The sequence below is a fragment of the Homo sapiens genome, chromosome 2 (genome assembly GCF_000001405.40).
Source record: "Homo sapiens chromosome 2, GRCh38.p14 Primary Assembly".
In the NCBI taxonomy this organism is placed as follows: domain Eukaryota; kingdom Metazoa; phylum Chordata; class Mammalia; order Primates; family Hominidae; genus Homo; species Homo sapiens.
This window is the reverse complement of record NC_000002.12, coordinates 40,420,196-40,439,748: the sequence shown is the minus strand read 5'-3', so window position 1 is coordinate 40,439,748 and position 19,553 is coordinate 40,420,196. Positions and strand designations below refer to the sequence as shown.

At 38.1% G+C, this 19,553-nt stretch overlaps 1 protein-coding gene across 23 annotated transcripts in view, besides 1 other annotated feature; it reads left to right on the top strand.

Annotated features, from left to right (window-relative positions):
- The window catches only part of SLC8A1 (solute carrier family 8 member A1), a 415,166-nt gene that overhangs the window by 72,687 nt on the left and 322,926 nt on the right, over window positions 1-19,553 (top strand). For 14 of the 23 annotated variants that reach the window (NM_001112802.2, NM_001372263.2, NM_001351494.2 and 11 more), the window contains one exon: window positions 9,445-11,276. In NM_001112802.2, coding sequence (NP_001106273.1) covers window positions 9,469-11,276 — 1,808 coding nt within the window. In that variant the 5' untranslated portion in view covers window positions 9,445-9,468. Of the gene's footprint in view, window positions 1-9,444; window positions 11,277-19,553 lie in introns of those variants that run through there. The other 9 variants (NM_001394106.1, NM_001394103.1, NM_001351493.2 and 6 more) reach the window with 1 other exon arrangement.
- Window positions 4,051-5,250: an enhancer, noted in NCBI's record as "MED14-independent group 3 enhancer chr2:40661639-40662838 (GRCh37/hg19 assembly coordinates)". NCBI's record gives its function as "activates an origin of replication core promoter dependent on BRD2, BRD4, P300/CBP and CDK7 cofactors, and independent of MED14, by STARR-seq in HCT116 cells {active_cell/tissue: HCT116}" and the evidence as "EXISTENCE:reporter gene assay evidence [ECO:0000049][PMID:35650434]".

Genomic DNA, 19,553 nt, shown 5'->3' with positions numbered 1-19,553 from the left:
AGGAAAATCTAAGACTTAAAAACCTCAAGTTGATAGGATTCTGTCTTCTGAAATGCTATCTACTTGAAGATGAATCTTAATGACTCACTGAAAAAGCTGATGAAATTCACCAGCCTCTGCTCACACAACCAGCATTTACCTTGTTAAAAAAGATTAAAAAATAAAAAAGAAAAAAATCTTGCTGGATTGACTGTCATTCAACTTGAGATTGGTTTCTGTATTAAACATCCCCAGTTCCAAGAGGCAGACTAGAAAGAAGAAAGAGTGACCACAGGGATTCGTTCTTGAGTTGAAATGAAGAAAAAGAGTAGGGGCTGCCCCCTAAAGAACTTGTCATTTGAAGAGCACAGCTTTCCTTACCACCCAGTACTTCATTTTGGGGTTCATGTTTCTGCATGTTTTCTACCTCTACTTAGGGTTTGGATATAGAAACTGAATAGGTCTCTGAAGATGTCCCTTTATCCTAAGTCTTTGTCACCTGCCAATGTAGTGACCTAGTAATCCTTGCTTGTTTCTTCTTAGAGAAGACAAAACACCTGCAGCAACATCATGAAGTAGGAACTTTATATTACCTCCAGTGCTTTAATCTCCCTTTTGGGGCCCCTCTTTTCTCCTATTAAGATCTGTCCTCCTCTGCCCTCTAGTCCCCCACCTCCTGGACACATATTCACTACGGGGCTTCATATTTTGATCCTGCCTGGAGACCCAGTCTGTGAGAGGGAAAGCACAGCTGACATATTACTTAACATCAACATCTTACTGATATTAGAACAAACACTGTTTTCTGATTTTCAGACACGCACTTCCAGTCTGTTTGCTAAACAAGCCCCATGCCCTGTGTGCTGTTCCTGTGCTTCTACTCAGTTCTGCTCTTTCTGCCTTACACTTCACAAAGGGTGGTCCAAGACCACCTACATGACAATCACCTGGGATTGTTGTTAAAATTCAAATTTGGAGATTCCTCAACTGTATCTGATTATAGGGCCCTGTTAACTGCATTTTAATTAGTTTGCCAGGTGATTCTTAGGTGAACTGAAGTTGGAGAATCATTGCTCTATGCCTTTGTCCATATCATTTCTTCCTTTTAGAATGTGCTGTCACATTCTCTAGCCGTTGTCATCCTTCCCATCCCTTCCTTTTATGACATTTTGTCAATTCTTCCTAGTATTAATGGTCATTGGAGTAACTGTCGCTTGCAGACTGTAAATTTAGTAAGTACAGGGACCACGTGTCAATCATATTTGCAATCCCTGTAGTGTCTGTTATGGTGCTTTGCACATAGAAGCTACTCCATAGAGGCTTGATGAATAAATGAAGGGTTCATTGCCTCTAGAACTAGAAACATAGGAAGGGCTCACTATATATACAGATTTTTAAGATTAAATGTCAACCAGCTATTGGGGAAATATTTTTAGGTAGAAAATCCTTTTTGGTGACCTAGATATAAAAGCATGTATATGACCTCATTCTTTTTCAGTGTTTAAGGTCAAACATCAAAGAAAGGCTGCTGTTTCTCTTCAGGGTTAGTGGTGAACAATTATTATGTGAAAGAATTACCATTGTCTATCAGGAGGCTTTTGAAAGATGTACAGAGTCCAAGGCTCTGCCTCTGGGAGCTCATTATAATTGAAATCTCTAGCTTGCAGGACCACAGTCTGAGCAGTCCGAGATTTCTAGAATGCTGGGTTTATTAACTCAAGACTCAAGGTACGTTAACCTGGGGACTAGGTAGTCCACTTCAGTGCTCAGTGTCAATGTTCAAATGCCAGGAAAGTCTCTTCTCTTCAGTGAATCTCTAGTAATGGAAGGGTCCTGGTTTCCACAGAAGGGACTCACTCCTTGATTCTGCCAGTGCCCCACTAGAATACAAGCTCCTTTGGAGATATGTTTTATTTATCTTTGAAACACAGTGTCTGGCATATATGAGTGGCTAAGAAAAGCTTGGCAGATAAAACCATAAACGAATGTGTTGTTTTTGCATTTCTTTGGATTACTTATTGGCTTAAATTTAAGATGTTAAGAAAAATGACCCCCAAGACAGTAAATTTTTGAGCTGCAATGAAATTCTATTTTAAAAAATACTGAATTATTGTTATTAGAGCAAAGTGTTAACCTACTTGTTATAGCAACATTCTGTATCATTCTCCCTGGCTCCCGTTCATTATCCGTTCCCCTCTTTTATTTTAGTTTTGCTTGCTTACTGCTAGGGATTCTTTCTTCATTTGCTTTTCTCCTGACCAAATGGAAAAACCTTGAGTTTACTACATGAGTTTGGAGTGATTTCAGACCTCTGTCTTCAGCTGATGATCCTTCACATGGATCATCTTTCCCTTGCTATGTGACGAATAGAAGTGCTTACAATACTTACTTGGGGAGTGGGAAGGCATCAGGCAGGAGTGGAAACATGTGAGGCTCCTTGATGAGCTAATGCAACCTACACACATTTATTCAGGTGGGAAGAAGGGGCAGCATGGCAGGTTAAGTACCTAAATCTTGAGCTCTCTGTCCCCAGAAAACATTGTTAACTTATTGTCGTGAAAATAAAATGTGTCTGCCATTTTGGAAATCGTTATAGTTTAATGCAAAATGCCTGAATTAAAATTCTAGTTCTGTCACTTAAGTATATATGACTCTAGCCAGCTTACTTTCATGAACCATTTATTTTTCTCATTTGTAAAATGCGAATGATAATATCTCCTTGTAGTATCGTCAGAAAAGTCAGGGACAGTGAATACAAAGTAATTAGCACAGTACCTGGGACAAGTAGATGCTCAGTCCATGATTTCAGTCATTATTGCCATCAGTGCCCTGAGTAGGGCCCTTAAACCCTGCTCTGTGGTTCTGGCATAATGAATTAGAGGACAAACCTGGCTAACTTCACATGGAGCCCAAGATTATCAGAGCATCTTCCTTCTACATTCTTTTTTATTTATTTTCTATTGAAAGACTCTCTCTTCTCCAGCTTTCTTTTTTCTACCCATATTTCCGTGTTAGCATGCAGATTAATATTTAAATTTAAATGCTTGGTGTTCTTTCCCTTGTGTAGGGCCTCTACAATGAAGGTGATTTTTGTTGTGCTTGAATATGTGTCTTTTAATTGTATTGGAAGGATGGGAAGATGTACTTCCTTGAGTATGTCCAAAGTGTTAGGGCCCTCTTAACAGAGCATATAAAATAAGCAAGCCAGGGCTGATGCTGGAAGACACACACCCAGGTTGTGGGGAAAATGTCAGGGCCCAGGTGCTCTCGTTATGCTGGAGATCAGTCTTTCCAGCCCAAGAGTCTTTGCTCATGAGTCTGAATCATGTGTTTCCTCTCTTCCTAACACTGACATTGACTTTACAATCTGATTTTGAACTCTGCTCATGTTAGGGTGCAACCATTTCACACAGACAACATTTTTTAACTGCAAATGCTTAGGCCCATTTCCCAGATTCTGGTTTACCACTGGAGATTTGGTGAATCAGCACGTGACCCTGTGAGCATTACTTTACTCATTCAATAAGCAGATGTTGTGCATCTTCTAAGTGCCAGGCTGTGCTCTAGGAACTGGGAATACCTCAATGAAAAAAAAGAAATGAAAATCCCTGCCCTTAGAGAGTTGCATCTTTTGAAGAGAGAAAGACAATAAATAGAACCATTGAATAAAATAGATAGCATGTAAGAAGTAATAAGAGCTGGCCAGACGTGGTGGTTCATGCCTGTAATCCCAGCACTTAGGGCTGAGGCAGGCAGATTACCTAAGGTCAGGAGTTCAACATGGTGAAACCCTGTCTCTACTAAAAATACAAAAAAAAAAAAAAAAATAGCCGAGCATGGTTGGCAGGCACCTATAATCCCAGCTACTTGGCAGGCTGAGGCAGAAGAATTGCTTGAATCCAGAAGGCACAGGCTGCAGTGAGCCGAGTTCATACCACTGCACTCCAGCCTGGGCGACAGGAGCAAGACTATGTCTCAAAAACAAAAACAAAAAAGTAATAAGTGCTATCTCGAAAAATAAAGTAGGGGAAAGGGCCAACAGTGCATCTCATGAGTTTTCAACAACTTCGTTATTTTATATCCTAAGTCTATCTTTCCTTTTGTGACCACATTGCCTACCTTCACCCTAGTTTCTTCATTTCCTGGACAATTTCAGCGGGTATTTTTGGTCATAAGGCAGGGGCCTGACTTCTGTTTTGTGAGTTTAAGAGAAAGGCTTGAGCCTATGATGTGACCGCTCATAGCCCATCCCCTTCGGCACCTGTCCCAAAGTATTAAACAGCAGAGAGGAAACTTTCTTTGGAAGGGAAAATTAGGTATTAGTAGAGGGTCTCTGTGTAAATGAGGTTTTTTTTTTCCTGAAATCTGGCCATGGTCTGATAGCCTGAGGCTGGAGCCAGGGCAGTAATTTTCACTTTAGGTGAGATGGTCAGATGAGAAAAGCCTTCATCCTCTGGCATCATCTCTTTGTCTAGAAACATTTGGAAGTGCTTGCCTTGGTAGTGGATAAGGATTTATGGTTGCTTTAATGTTGCCTTAGAAACAGATTAATTGCTTAGCTTTGAGTCTTTCAGTCAGCAAGAATTACATAGAAGGGAATTCCAAGTACTGATGAAGGCCATCAAGGAGTTCCTTGGAATAACCCCAGCTGCCAATCAAGAGGATGCCATTAGGATGACTGTCCAATATATTGGGCTGTTAGGAATGCCAGCATATGCCTTTGCTCTGAGTCACGTCCTCCTTGGTAGTCAAAACTGGCTATAGCTTCCAGCAGGGAATGGTCACCGTGCTGCCAACCACTCTTCAGGCCTCTGCTCCAAAAGCTCTCCCTCTTCCTTTACAAAGCAGTTGGATCTATCTCTTGTAGATGTGGGTTTCTATTCCTTGTAGCTGTGACCTCTTCCTCCGACACAACTGGCTGGACTACTCACAGCTGGATATCTTTTTACCATCCTTTGTCAGTGTCATTTGGGTCTGTAATCTGTGGGTGATGGGTTGTGTGTTGTTTTAAAATAAATAGTGATCAGAAGATAATTTGGGTATTCTTGATACTGTGCTAAAGTCTCATTTCATGATGTAATGGATATTTTAAGTTAGTACTGCTCACAGTTGTACGAGTTGATCTGAATCCACCATAAAAATCAGCCTATACTTTGTATTGGTAAATTAAGGCAGAATATAAGAAAGCCAGGCAGCAAATCAACATATCCACAGTCTCTATTCTTATCTTTCTGCTTAATTTGTATGGAAATGTATATTTGAGGGAAAATGGGGAGAGTTTAGTAGAACTACTTTGAATCTGATGATAGAGGAAAGACCCCGAAAGAAAGAAAACAAAAGGATGAAGAAGGAACTCACATTTAGATAACATCTATTCCACATCTTCGTGGGCATTTGAATTTGGTATTAATTTAATAAGAAAAAGAAATTTAAGTCCAGAGAGTTCTTTCCAATTGCTTCATTGCCAATAAGCTACATCAGTGTGCTGTGTCCACTGTTCACAAATTATAATACTGCTCTCTTTTGAATATAATTGTAATGTTTTTAGTTAACACCGGAAGCCCCCTTCCTTTTTCTCTGATAATGATGATGGATTTTTACTGACCTGTCTACCTTTAGACATCTGGTGACCTTTTGGCTAAGAACATATTGTGGGATGTGGGCTAGGGAAGGGATAAAGGGCAGGGCTTTTTCTTGGCTGGCCCAGGAGATTGCCCTGACAGTGCATGCAGGAAGAGGTTGCCAGGCAATTGCTAAAAGACCAGATTGAAGGGCAGCTGTCTCTAGGAACATGCTAGCCCTCATGTTACATCACAGTTATTGATGCTTGTCTGTTTGAGTCTAATGCATAAGATAAAAGCCAGGCTATTGGAAACCTTCCACAAGACTTTTGCTAACTAGGCCCTCCTGACCCTGCATGGAAGCCAAGAGGCTTTCCAACGGGCTAGTCCAAGCCAACCCCAATAGTTCTCAAAGATTACTTCACACACTATCAGGGATGATATAATGGAGCAGTTAGTTATATCAGTCTTGGAAAAAGACCAGGGGTTGGGTCTTAGTTGAGGAGTTTACTGTCTGTATGACTTTCAGCAAGTACTTAACCTATCTAAGCCTCAGTTATCCAACCTCCAAATGGGCTAATAGTACCTACTATTTAGGATTATTGTTAGGGTACTGTGCATTGCACATCTCCAGGGGTGCTGTTCTCATGGACTATAATGGAAATAGCAACACTAGGCATTTTATAACAGCAATGCTGGCTAATGGAAATATTAAATATAATTGATATGTATAGAGACAATTTAGCATGGTATCTGTGACTGTTTAAGAATGGAATCTAGTATTCTCTCAGGAAATTGGTTATAATTTGGTGTTCAGCTCTTTTGAAACTTGCTTCTAAGAAGGAAAAAGCAAAATAGTTTTGGACACAGAATAATCTGCAAAGACTTGGATGTAAGAAATTGTTACCTTGTTCAGGGAATGGGAATAATTTCCATATTCTGGAGCTCAGATGCCAGATCATAAAAGGTCTTAGAAAGCCTGTTGAGGGGTTTGAGCTTTGTCCTCAGGGAAGTGGGAAACCAATGAAGAGTTTTAAGGGACGTGAAGAGTGTCAGATCTGCACTTTAGGAATTTCATTTTGGCTGAAACGTGAAGAATGGAATGATGCGATTTGGCAGTAATTTGAAGGGAGTGGTTAGTTATATCAGTCTTGGAGACAGACACAGGTTTGAATCTCCCTTCAGTGTTTATGTTCAGTACTACTATTTATCACAAATATTTCACCTTTCTGATTCTTTCAGGTCCCCAAGACATTTCTTTCACCATTTTAAATGTTAAATATCTTCTGTACCATTTTGTATACCTGCCAAGTATTGGGATCACTTATAAATTAGATTTTATATAGTAGGCAAAATCTGGTCTCCTTGTTTCCACCCTTGCCCCTTCAGTCTTTTCTGCACTGAACCAGCAGAGAGATCCTTCTAAAAGAAAAATCAGATCATATCACCCTCTGATTAGAACCTCCCAGTGATTCTCATCTTCTACCCCATCAAAGCCCATGCCTTATGGCAATTCAGTGTTCTCTGATCCATTCCCACTCCTGAGCCCTGCCCCCTTGGTCCATTACCCTCTTGCTACATTGGTTTTCTGTGTTTTTAGACTGTGCCAAGCATGATTCCCATTAGGACCTTTGCACTTGCTGGAATTCTTTTCCTACAGATATCCACAAAACTTGATCTTTCGTGTCCTTCAGGACTTTGCTCAAGTGTTACCTTATCAGAGAGGCCTTCCTTAACCATCTAGTATGAAATCATGCATCCCACGTGTATACACACTGACACATACACACACACACACACACACACAATCTCACACTCTCCTTGTCCTCTATAGATTGTTCTGCACACACATGTACCATAGGAGTTTTTAACCTTCTGATATTTATATTTGTTTGTTTCCTCCACCATTAGAATATAAGCTCTGTGAGGACAGAGACTTTGTTTTATCACTGGTGAATTCTCAGGATCTAGAAGACAGACTAGTAAGTCTTTCTAAAATACATATTAAGCATGCATAAATATTGTGGATGAAATGGATACACAAGGGAGTTGGAACTAGATCTTCCAACATTCTTGCAGGATGGTTAAATTTCACCTTGTTTCAAGCAGAAATCTCAAAGCCTTTCAAAGACTGAACAAGCAGACATACTGACCAGAACTTTTGCATATTTTGAAAATATGCTACCTCTATTTTTCAGCCTTTTACTTAGTTTTGAATTCTACTGCTATAACCCTCCTCTGATTTTCTTTAGTATGGGAAAAATGTCAAAGAAGCTTATCTCCCTGTAGTGATGAGCTATAAAGGGCTTTAGTCTATGGTGGGATCTCTCAGGGTCTGCCAGAATGTCCTAGGCAGCGGTGTTCTCCTGGGCACTGGTGCAGTTTGCAGTATAAGCCATCAGCAGCAAACATGAGCCAGAGAGTGTAGGCGAATGTGGGGTGGCTCTCAGCCAGCCCGAAGCTATGAAAGCCTGTAATCCAGTTCCTCTTTTAACTTTTTCCAGGACATAAGGGTATGTTCTGACTCAGGGCTTCTTCCTATTGCTGCTTTATCTGATGTCATAACTAGTCCATCCTGCAAGGCCTGGGAGACAGTCACCTTGACTTGGAGCAGACCTTCCTCTACTTCAGTTTCCCCTCACCTCCATCCCAGGTTCTGGAAGCAGAAGGGATGTAAGGTCTGAGTAGAGTTTTGCTTGAGCTGGTGGGTGGACTTAAGGCCATGGTGGTTGAGTCCACTGCTATGCCTACCAAGCTTTGTGTGCTGCTCACTGACTCTGTTGCCATGGCCCTCCTTGCCTACAGTCCTTCATCATGTGTATATTTTGTGGTCACTCTTGTCATGCCACATGAGCTAATTTAAATGGAATTATTGGTCCTGCATTTTTTGGTCACTTGAACCCTCGACAGAACTAATATGTATTTTAGAATGACCATGGAAAATATGACCGACACCGAGAAGGAACATTTTAAGGTTGGTGACGCTGATTCCACAGCCTGCCAGGCGCTTACCCACAACTAGGCCTTGGCCTGTTTATCTCCCTTTCCAGCCTGCAGAAAAACAGGCTCTGTACACAGATGTGAAGAGCTGTGCTTGAAGAACCAGATGCCCAGCTGCTAATGTATCAGCAGACCTGGGCTGGCTGAAAATTAGAAAGAAATGTGCTCTCATCAAAACATGCTTTTAAAAACTGTACTTAATGTGTGGAAATATTGCATTATAGCAGAATTTTTTTCTCCTCAAGAACAAATGCCATTGAGCTTTGATTTCAGGCAAGCTTGAAGTTTTGTTTCCAAGTAAGTGTGGAGCAATAGGACATGATTTCATGAAATACAGTGTAAGATGCTCTCTGGCGTTTAAGATAATCACCAGGCCTTGTGTTGGTGGGATTTTTTCGGAGTCTGATTTTCAAAGCATCAATTGTAATAAGGTGCTTTTGGCATTGAAACCGTTTTTGGAAGATGATGTACTAACACAAATTTAGAAGAAAATCTGCTTTAGTAAAAAGGAGGAAATTGTTTAATGCTTCAAAAGTCCTGTGATTTTGGCTATTAGCATGCATAAATGTGTGTTTAATAAGGCAAGGCTATATAAATTGAACTTTTCCTTTCCAGTAAGTCAATTGTGTATCTTGCTCAGTGAATGGGTACTACATGTAGTAAATTCACAGAAAGATTGAGTTGTAAACTTTACAAAGGATTGCTTAGTCACTGATGGAGTCTTAGAACAATCATTCACCATAGATTTTGTGATGGTCAAATATAAACAAATTTCGGTTTTGTGATGGTCAAATATAAACAAATTTTGGTAAGAGTAATAAAAATAAGTAATTAGTAATGCTTTGGCTGCAGCTCTAATGACATGACTTTTTTTCTGCCCTCTCCCCCATCTTATTTTTACCAGTAGGTTGTGACAGTTGGAAGTGTCATGTACAACATGCGGCGATTAAGTCTTTCACCCACCTTTTCAATGGGATTTCATCTGTTAGTTACTGTGAGTCTCTTATTTTCCCATGTGGACCATGTAATTGCTGAGACAGAAATGGAAGGAGAAGGAAATGAAACTGGTGAATGTACTGGATCATATTACTGTAAGAAAGGGGTGATTTTGCCCATTTGGGAACCCCAAGACCCTTCTTTTGGGGACAAAATTGCTAGAGCTACTGTGTATTTTGTGGCCATGGTCTACATGTTTCTTGGAGTCTCTATCATAGCTGATCGGTTCATGTCCTCTATAGAAGTCATCACATCTCAAGAAAAAGAAATAACCATAAAGAAACCCAATGGAGAGACCACCAAGACAACTGTGAGGATCTGGAATGAAACAGTTTCTAACCTGACCTTGATGGCCCTGGGATCTTCTGCTCCTGAGATTCTCCTTTCAGTAATTGAAGTGTGTGGCCATAACTTCACTGCAGGAGACCTCGGTCCTAGCACCATCGTGGGAAGTGCTGCATTCAATATGTTCATCATTATTGCACTCTGTGTTTATGTGGTGCCTGACGGAGAGACAAGGAAGATTAAGCATTTGCGTGTCTTCTTTGTGACAGCAGCCTGGAGCATCTTTGCCTACACCTGGCTTTACATTATTTTGTCTGTCATATCTCCTGGTGTTGTGGAGGTCTGGGAAGGTTTGCTTACTTTCTTCTTCTTTCCCATCTGTGTTGTGTTCGCTTGGGTAGCGGATAGGAGACTTCTGTTTTACAAGTATGTCTACAAGAGGTATCGAGCTGGCAAGCAGAGGGGGATGATTATTGAACATGAAGGAGACAGGCCATCTTCTAAGACTGAAATTGAAATGGACGGGAAAGTGGTCAATTCTCATGTTGAAAATTTCTTAGATGGTGCTCTGGTTCTGGAGGTGGATGAGAGGGACCAAGATGATGAAGAAGCTAGGCGAGAAATGGCTAGGATTCTGAAGGAACTTAAGCAGAAGCATCCAGATAAAGAAATAGAGCAATTAATAGAATTAGCTAACTACCAAGTCCTAAGTCAGCAGCAAAAAAGTAGAGCATTTTATCGCATTCAAGCTACTCGCCTCATGACTGGAGCTGGCAACATTTTAAAGAGGCATGCAGCTGACCAAGCAAGGAAGGCTGTCAGCATGCACGAGGTCAACACTGAAGTGACTGAAAATGACCCTGTTAGTAAGATCTTCTTTGAACAAGGGACATATCAGTGTCTGGAGAACTGTGGTACTGTGGCCCTTACCATTATCCGCAGAGGTGGTGATTTGACTAACACTGTGTTTGTTGACTTCAGAACAGAGGATGGCACAGCAAATGCTGGGTCTGATTATGAATTTACTGAAGGAACTGTGGTGTTTAAGCCTGGTGATACCCAGAAGGAAATCAGAGTGGGTATCATAGATGATGATATCTTTGAGGAGGATGAAAATTTCCTTGTGCATCTCAGCAATGTCAAAGTATCTTCTGAAGCTTCAGAAGATGGCATACTGGAAGCCAATCATGTTTCTACACTTGCTTGCCTCGGATCTCCCTCCACTGCCACTGTAACTATTTTTGATGATGACCACGCAGGCATTTTTACTTTTGAGGAACCTGTGACTCATGTGAGTGAGAGCATTGGCATCATGGAGGTGAAAGTATTGAGAACATCTGGAGCTCGAGGAAATGTTATCGTTCCATATAAAACCATCGAAGGGACTGCCAGAGGTGGAGGGGAGGATTTTGAGGACACTTGTGGAGAGCTCGAATTCCAGAATGATGAAATTGTGTAAGTTCTATATTATATATGTGTGTGTGTGTGTGTGTGTGTGTGTGTGGTTCAGTGTGTTTATGAATGTGAGTCTGTGCATCATTTTTTAAATTAAATAGCATGCAAGGAATGGAATAGCTTTTATACAAGATCCCTTTCAAGATATCAGTCTTTGCTTGGGTGCCAGTTATCAATATGCTCTGCACACAGAGATCTTAAATTTATTTACATCAGAATTTTATTTTTACTTTTATACATTTACACATTTTAACTACATTGTGACTATGATAAAATGAGTGATGGGACACAGTTTATCAGATGACTTAAGACAGGCTGAGAAATTGGTCTTCTATTTTGAATCACATGGTATATACTCAGAAAAGGAATATTTAAAACATCACAATAGGTCTCTAACTTCGTTTCTGAGTACAAATTGGGAAAACCCAAAAAGGAAACACCCTGAAAATAATTTCTTGGCTACCAGGGCTGGCTGAAAATATTTTTGTGGCTTTTATGTGACATTGTGTTTTGTGACAATATAAGTTAATGTTTCTGCTTAAATGCCAATGCTAAATTATGACTTCATAACCAATCCTGCTTCTTCAGTGTTATGCCAACATGGGAAAGGCCATCCAGCCCTTTTGTAGTTCAAGTCCGGTTTTATTTTACATCCTTATTAAACAAACCCTGTACCCCACTGATACAGTGATGGAGAGAGAAATAAGGTTCTGTCCACGTGTCTAGTTGTCAGGGAGCAGGTCAGAGAAAAGAAGGAAAAATTTATTCTTCCTCGTGGTACTTTACAGTGGCACTGTGCTCATGTAGTAATATGAAGTACCCAGTTGTTAAGTGATTCTTCGACTGAGAGTTGATATTTAGAGGGCTGTTCCCCCTTTGCCTAGGAAAGTGTGTTGCACTCAACTCACCAAAAGCAAACCAGAAAATTTGACTCTATGAACAATTTCTGGGGGGAAAGGAGGGAGGGAGAGAGGGAGGGAGGCTGACTATAATATCTTCAGTACAACAAACGACGTTAAAATGAATGATTATGTTGGTTGAAGCACTGGACATTTAGAAATTTCAGGGAAGAAAAATAAATATATAAATACAGTTCGAAAATAGTTAACTCTTACGATAATGGCATATGATATGCCAAATGGTGAATGCATGCTCTTTAAATATGAAATTTCTCCTACTGAAAGTGAGAGAAAACAAACCAAAAAGGGGGAGGGGATGGGCAGAGAGAACAGATTTTCCTGAGAGAGCCTTCCAGTGTCTTTACATCTCTTTGTTGTTATACTATAGTGATAAGTAGTGTCGAGTACAATATCACAATGAAATCAAGCAAAGCAGGGATTATAATATCCATCTTCTGATGTTTGTAGGGAGCAAAGTGTTTTGATTAATATCTATTTTATGTTAATTCTAATGTTGTTAGTGTTACACTTATTGAGATGTGTTTTGTTGGGATACTTATTTTACTGAAAGATAGTGATCTAGTAGCAAATTAATATCCTTCATATCCAAGAAAGAATTTTTTCAGTGGTCTTGCATTGGAAAGTTCATGTGTGCCCAGGTTAACACAAATGAACTTTATTCCTTTGCTAGGAATTCTTTCCCTATTGATTATATTTTCCCTAATGATTATGTTTTCTAATCATTTCAATTATTGAACCCTTCTGTAGTAGATAGCACTTGTAATCCATCTAAAAGTGTACTGCGTGTTGTTAAAGGTATATTTCATGTCGTTAAATGAACTCATAAGGGTAGCCCTTAAAACAACTTAAATCTGTGTTTTGTTTTGTTTGTTTGACTAAGCATATTTTCTTTTGAAAATTTAATCTTACCTTTTCTTAAGAATAAGGACTCTATACTGGTTTATCTGAAAAGCAGTCTTTCCCTATCTATTCTGCAGTTCAGGACTTTTACCAAACCATAAATAACCTTCTTTTGGGTGGTACGATGCAGAAGAATAAGGAAAAGGATTTTTAAAAAGGATTGACATTGATTTGATAGAATAACTTATTCTGCCAAGTTCCATTTAAAACATTCATCCTATGCAATTAAATTGGAAGGAATATTGCCACATTCCATCTTTAGAAATTTAGATTTCTTGTGAGAATTGGTAAACATTGGTGGAGTTGGTGAAAATTGGCTAATAATTCATGCCATCTCTATATATATGTTCTTAGGAGTATTGAAGATCAATCGCAAGTTTCTTGCTCTATAAAATTGTTACTATACTTCATTTGCTTAATTGAAATGTGAAATTTTAGAAATGGCAAAGCATTTAACTTATAAGTGGAATGAAATTACAGCCCTACATTTTTCTTTTTTCTAGATTTTTAATTTTGAAGAGATTTCATCTTGACTTCGTAGAGTTGTATTACTGACAAGCTTTGTAGATGCTAAATAGGTCTGTTGATTGTACAGATTTGTTTGGCTGGGACTTAACCTTAAATTAAGCACCAAGATTCAAACACAAGGTTTCTAGAAAAACATATTATCAAAGATATGTTGATTCCATGTCTTTGCTATTGGGAATAGTGCTGCAATGAACATACAAATGCATGTGTCTTTATAACAGAATGATTTATATTTCTTTGGGTATATACCCAGTAATGGGATTGCTGGGTCAAATGGAGTTGTGCTGCCCTCTTAGCAGCTTAGAAAACATTATTTTTTTATGGATTATTTTTCCTTTGGCAGTTGTCTTATTTCCATACAGTCAGATCCAAGTGAAAGAGTTTGTCATCGTGCAATGGAGTCAGACTATGTAGATTAAACCCAACTTATCTTTAAGAATGAATTTATATCTCATCAAATTACATAGTTAATCTTGAAAGATGTCCTCCTTCAAAACCTACAGTACTTAAACATGGCTGATGGCGCCACCAAGCTTTATTAAGTACTTTGAAAAAAAAATGTTTGTTTAATGTTGTGCACAAAGCCAGACTTTATTATTCTTTCCAGAGCACCATAAAGAGATTCCTGGAAAAGCCTAAATTTAAAGGCTAATTTTAAGAAGTCCCTAACAAAGGTAGAAATAAGGTCCAATCTGATCAAGGATGGAGAATAAGAGGCACTACAGCTTTAATGATTGTTGGATTCCAAAAACAAGATAGATTCCTAATCTTTGATCTTATTTTTAGTGTAGAAATAGTCATTTAAATTTATAATATAAAAATGTCTATAAATATTTATTCATATTCTCACATAAATGAGTTGATTTATTTCAATTTGATAAGTGATAAGTGATGCTTGTAATTTCTAATAAAATATATTCTCAGCAAAACATTTTAAAATTACAAAGCAAAATCCCATTAAATAGATATAATTAACAGCTAGCACATGCTTTTTTATAAACTCAATCAATGACACATACTAAACCAATGCCAACTAATTTTGACTTACAACAGGGAATTCTGTCTAATGTTAACAGCTAATAAAAAATAAATTAAGAATATGCTAATTTGATTTGTGGTTTGGTAGGTAATATCTACACATTTGAAGTGCTGTTAATGATTGTTCTTTAATGGTTCTAGTTTAATGGTAATAATTATTACAAAATATTGTTTGGTATTTCAAGGTCTAACATTAGCTTAACTGTTTTGGAAAAATGATAAGGCTAATTAACTAATGTAGATACAAATCAAATTTAATTAGTTATAGCCCAGCAATAGTATTATTTTTGGAAGACAATTTAAAAGATTATGAGCGTTTAGTATTATATATTTAAAGTACAGAGTTGAAAAATCAGAGTATGCAAGTTAGATTATTTACTTAATATACTCCTTAGAATATCAGCTTACCAGAGGTTCCTAGTCATAGTATAACATATTAAACAACGGGCCTACCCAAACTTAATTTTGTTTTAACAACTATTATATTTTTCAGTGTAGTTGTAACTTCATTAACTTTAGGAAATAGTATGTGTAAGACATCTTAACCAATATAGCTGTCTGATGCTCAATATTTATATCACATTTTACTCTTTTTGGAAAAAAGACTAGAAAGGAAAAAAAATTTCAGTAGTATATGGGTTCTATGGAATTATTATTATATTCCAGGGAAAATAAATATTTTGTTTTTGCTATTTATGGGACCTGTGTTCTTTTCTTGTTCTAGAGAATTCTATAGAATTCTCTATAGACTTAGCTATGTGAGATGGCAATTCAATTCTGAGAGTAGAACAAAATACAATAAGACAGCCAGATGTAAACAAGGTGAAATGAAGATATTAAGAAAATTTGAAGTGATCAGAACAGAAGGATAATTGTGTGGAGAAATCAGAAATGATGAAAAATATTAGAAAAAATATCACAAGACAAGAAAGGCTGTTAGCACATACTAATTTCTGCACACAATTTAATAACTCCAACATATTCAAGCTTTACTTTATAGCAGTAGAATTTTATCTGCTACCTTTAAAGCATACGATGGAGGTATGATATTTTATACTGACATATAATTTTCCTAGGTAATGTATTAATGTAAGAAATTTGTATGGAATAACTAGCATTTGAATGGATTTCTGCTTTAGTGGATTATCTTTTCAGAACAGAATATTTATGTCTTTTTAGAGCCAAATCACATATAATATCATCTGCAAACCTAAATTATAACTAAAAGATGTTTTTATAAATGCATGTTTTCTGAATGCATAGCTATTATAAAAATAAGATAGGATAAGAGCCAAAAAACATTTATGAGTCTGAATTTAGTACTGCCAGGAGCTTAAATTGATTGTGTGCAGAAAGGTTGTTTATGGTGTCAACCAGATTGCCATATTTGCTATTATAATCTTATTTTTCCAGCACTAATTAAAGCTTGGGGTTATAATATCATTATGTAAAGGAATTTTGTCTTAGCAATTGAGATTTCATAGTTCAGCCACATTGAAGTGTTTAAATTACGGGCTCTTTTCTTAGTCATCATTCAAGGCCATTACATAGAAGGCTGATTGCTTTACTGGGTTAGGGGCAGAGGAGAATTTATATATCAGTTAATCTGCACATACTTAATAAGCTACAGATTTGTGGCCATCAGTGGGCTAAGAATTATAACAGAAATAGAAAAAATATGCTCCTTATACTCTAAAATGGGAGATAATGAGATGGTGTATATTCTGATAAGTACAAATTTCATTTTAAAGACATTTTGTAAACTATAGGAAGCCTTGATTTTAGATAAAATATTTTCATTTGCTTTTGGAGGACAAAAGCATAATTTAAAAGGAAAATGGGATGTGCATTGTAAGATGGACTCATACCTTGGTAAATCTAAGAGTATGGGCAGTTTCAATAGACAGGACCATTATCAAAATTAATGAAAGGCTAAGTAAAAGTACATTTTGTATAATGGGATTTTAAATCATTATAAGGGTACTTAAACCAACCTGAATACATCCTTTAAAGGATTGCTATTTGTAGAACCCTTTTTGTTTGTGGAATGTGTAGAAACAAAATTTGGAAGACTAATGGTATTATCGTATTGTTTTCCCGTTCTCAAATGCTTTTCATACATGTGATATTATAATAGCCCAATGAAGTAAGTGACCTTGCAGATGAAAAAACTGAAACTTAGAGAGATTAATTTTTTTCAAAGTGCTAATAAATTATGGATCTAGGATTTGAACCCTTTTCTATTTGAAATAAAAGGTTATGTGCTTGTTCTTCCATACTACTTTGCCTCTTGAAGGTCCTAAAGAGAATTTAACAGATTTGTAGTAAAATATTGTTAGTACTTTATTTTTCTCTTTGTTAACTAGTCCTTGGGTCTCTAGGAATGGTTCTGCTTTACTTTAATCCTATGGATATTGAGCAGCTTTTGAGGAGTCCTTAGCCATTGACAATTAGCTATTGTCACATCATTTTCTCAAGAGTTATTGCTCTGTCACCATCTTGTAAAATCTGAATGGATTTTACACTAAGTTGTGAAATGGGAAGAGGTTTTCTTTGCTTTCTTTCCTTAGGACACCATTAACCAAGGGAAGGAGATTTAAGTATACTTAATTCTTTTGAGTAGAGCAACCTTGAGGGTCTAAGACATACAAGGGGTTATTTGCTGTTATTTTGCTTCTCTGTCAGCTAACAAAGCTGAGATGTGGAAAATTGCCTATAGGCAACATTGTAATATCATGGGAACTATTGAGGTTTTCCTATAAAATATCTTCATCATATTTCCTCCATGGCTGAAATCTGACCATTGGAGATTTACTGTTTGGGGTAGAACATCGATTAGTCCCTTATTACAGTATAAATGCCATGAAACTCAGAAGTTTAGCCTTGCAACAGTAGAGTTAAATGGCTCTGGGCCAGGTGGCAGGAAAGGGTGAGAAGATAGCTGAATGTACTGTGGGTAAGTGGCATATGAGATAATCTTCGTAACTGCCTTGGGTGAGCCCGCTGAGGGTCCCAGTGGAAGGTGCTGAGTGGGCAGGCAGGACTCAAGCTGCTGTCTTCCCATAGTGCCTTGCAGTTCCTGCCCTGGATTTCTGGTGGGAAGTCCAGAAGGCCCTGGGAGGGAAAGCAGCAATTAACAATATGGGAAGCATTAGAGGAAATCTCCTCCATTGCCTCCTCTCCTGGCTCGACATGCTGCCTACATAATACCCATGTATTTGCCAAAGGTTGAGCCAAGCCAGGGCCCTTTCTTTTCACAGACTTATACAGCTGTTTCACTATAGAGCCAGGCTAAATAAACAATTCTTTTTCATTTCCTGCCTTTCTCCTGAGGACTTGGTGCTGTAGATGACAGTTTCTTTCTTTCCTATAGTGTCTTCACAGGGCTAAATATGGGAATAGGCATTGTGTTCTTTGGTGACAGTTGAAGATATGAAGGTAAGAACGAAAAGCAGAACCTGAGTCCCTCACCTTTCAGGCTGGTGCTCATGATAACAGGGCAACCAGGTGTTGCAGTATACTTAGCAATTCACATATTAATAAAATACCCTAAGATATTTTCCAGATATAGTTTTTTGATTTTATTTTTGCTTTTCTATGCTTACATATGAGATATCTGGGGTCCTAGGTATTCTGAAGCCTTGTGGTGACCCTTGAAACCAAGGCCACACCATTTTTCCATGACAAATTTCCTGAGATAAAGATGGGCTTAGGAGGATCGCTAAACTTGGAAATTTGAGCTCTCTGTCCCCTACCAGCTTTGTGCCTTTCAGCCAGTTACTGAGGTTCTGAGTCAACTTTCTCACCTGTAAAATGAGGAAGATGGTCATGGTGCTGTTGGTGATGGTGATTTTGGATATATTGGTAATGGTGGTAGTGATGGTTGTGGTTGGAATGGTGGTGGTTCTAGATATGTTGGAGGTGGTAGTGATGGTGATGCTGATGGTGTTGGTGGTGATAGTGTTGGAGATGATGGCGGTAGTGGTGATTATTTTTGGTGTTGGTGGTGGTGGTGGTGATGATGGTGATGGCACTAAGATTTATTAAACAACAAGTTTCATGCTATTCTTAAAGTATCCGTATGACTTAATCTTTGCAACTATATCAAGTAGCTACTCTTATTAGACTCATTTTACAGATGAAGAAGTTGAAGCTTAGAGATTTAACTTTCTCTGGGTCACACAGCTAATAAAGGGTGGATCCAGAATTCAGCAGCACTGCTTGACTGTAATTCCCATAGAGTCTTATTCAGGGCTGTTTCTTCCTTTGAATGGCTTTCATACACAAGGAGGAATATGTATCAGGCTGTGGTGCAGTGACAGTAACCTCAACACATGCTCAAGCTGCTCAGAAGATGAGAAACTAGAGCAGTCATTTATCTTTTCTGGGATTCTAGAACGTGTATTAACCACATTGCACCCCGTGCCCCACTCTCCATTAACCTAGAAGGCCATGAATAGCTGAGTTTGAGAGGCAAGGGAATGCTTAATGTTTTAGTCCCTCCGTGTAGCTGACCTACCTAGTTATTGTTGGTTTTGGCTTTTTTCTCTCACACAATATTTATTTCCCTATGTTCCTAGTTTTTAAAAAGAAACTTCTTTATTCCTAGTTTTCTGTCATTGCCTGCTTTGGCGCTGTAGCATTTAACTTCCTTATATGGCTGAATAATGAATGCAGCTTTTCTTCGTACTTGAAATAGCAGTTTCTTGGTCTGTTTTTTTTTTTTAATGTGTTACCAGACAATCCAAATTAATGACAGCAAAGAATTAGTATCAGGGGATGCTATTACCTTGTGTCAGCACTAAAAAGAGGTTAAAACATATTCTGTGACCCTGGAGGTGGTTAATAGTAAGAATTATTTATTAGGAGACTTTCCTAGAATAAGTGACCT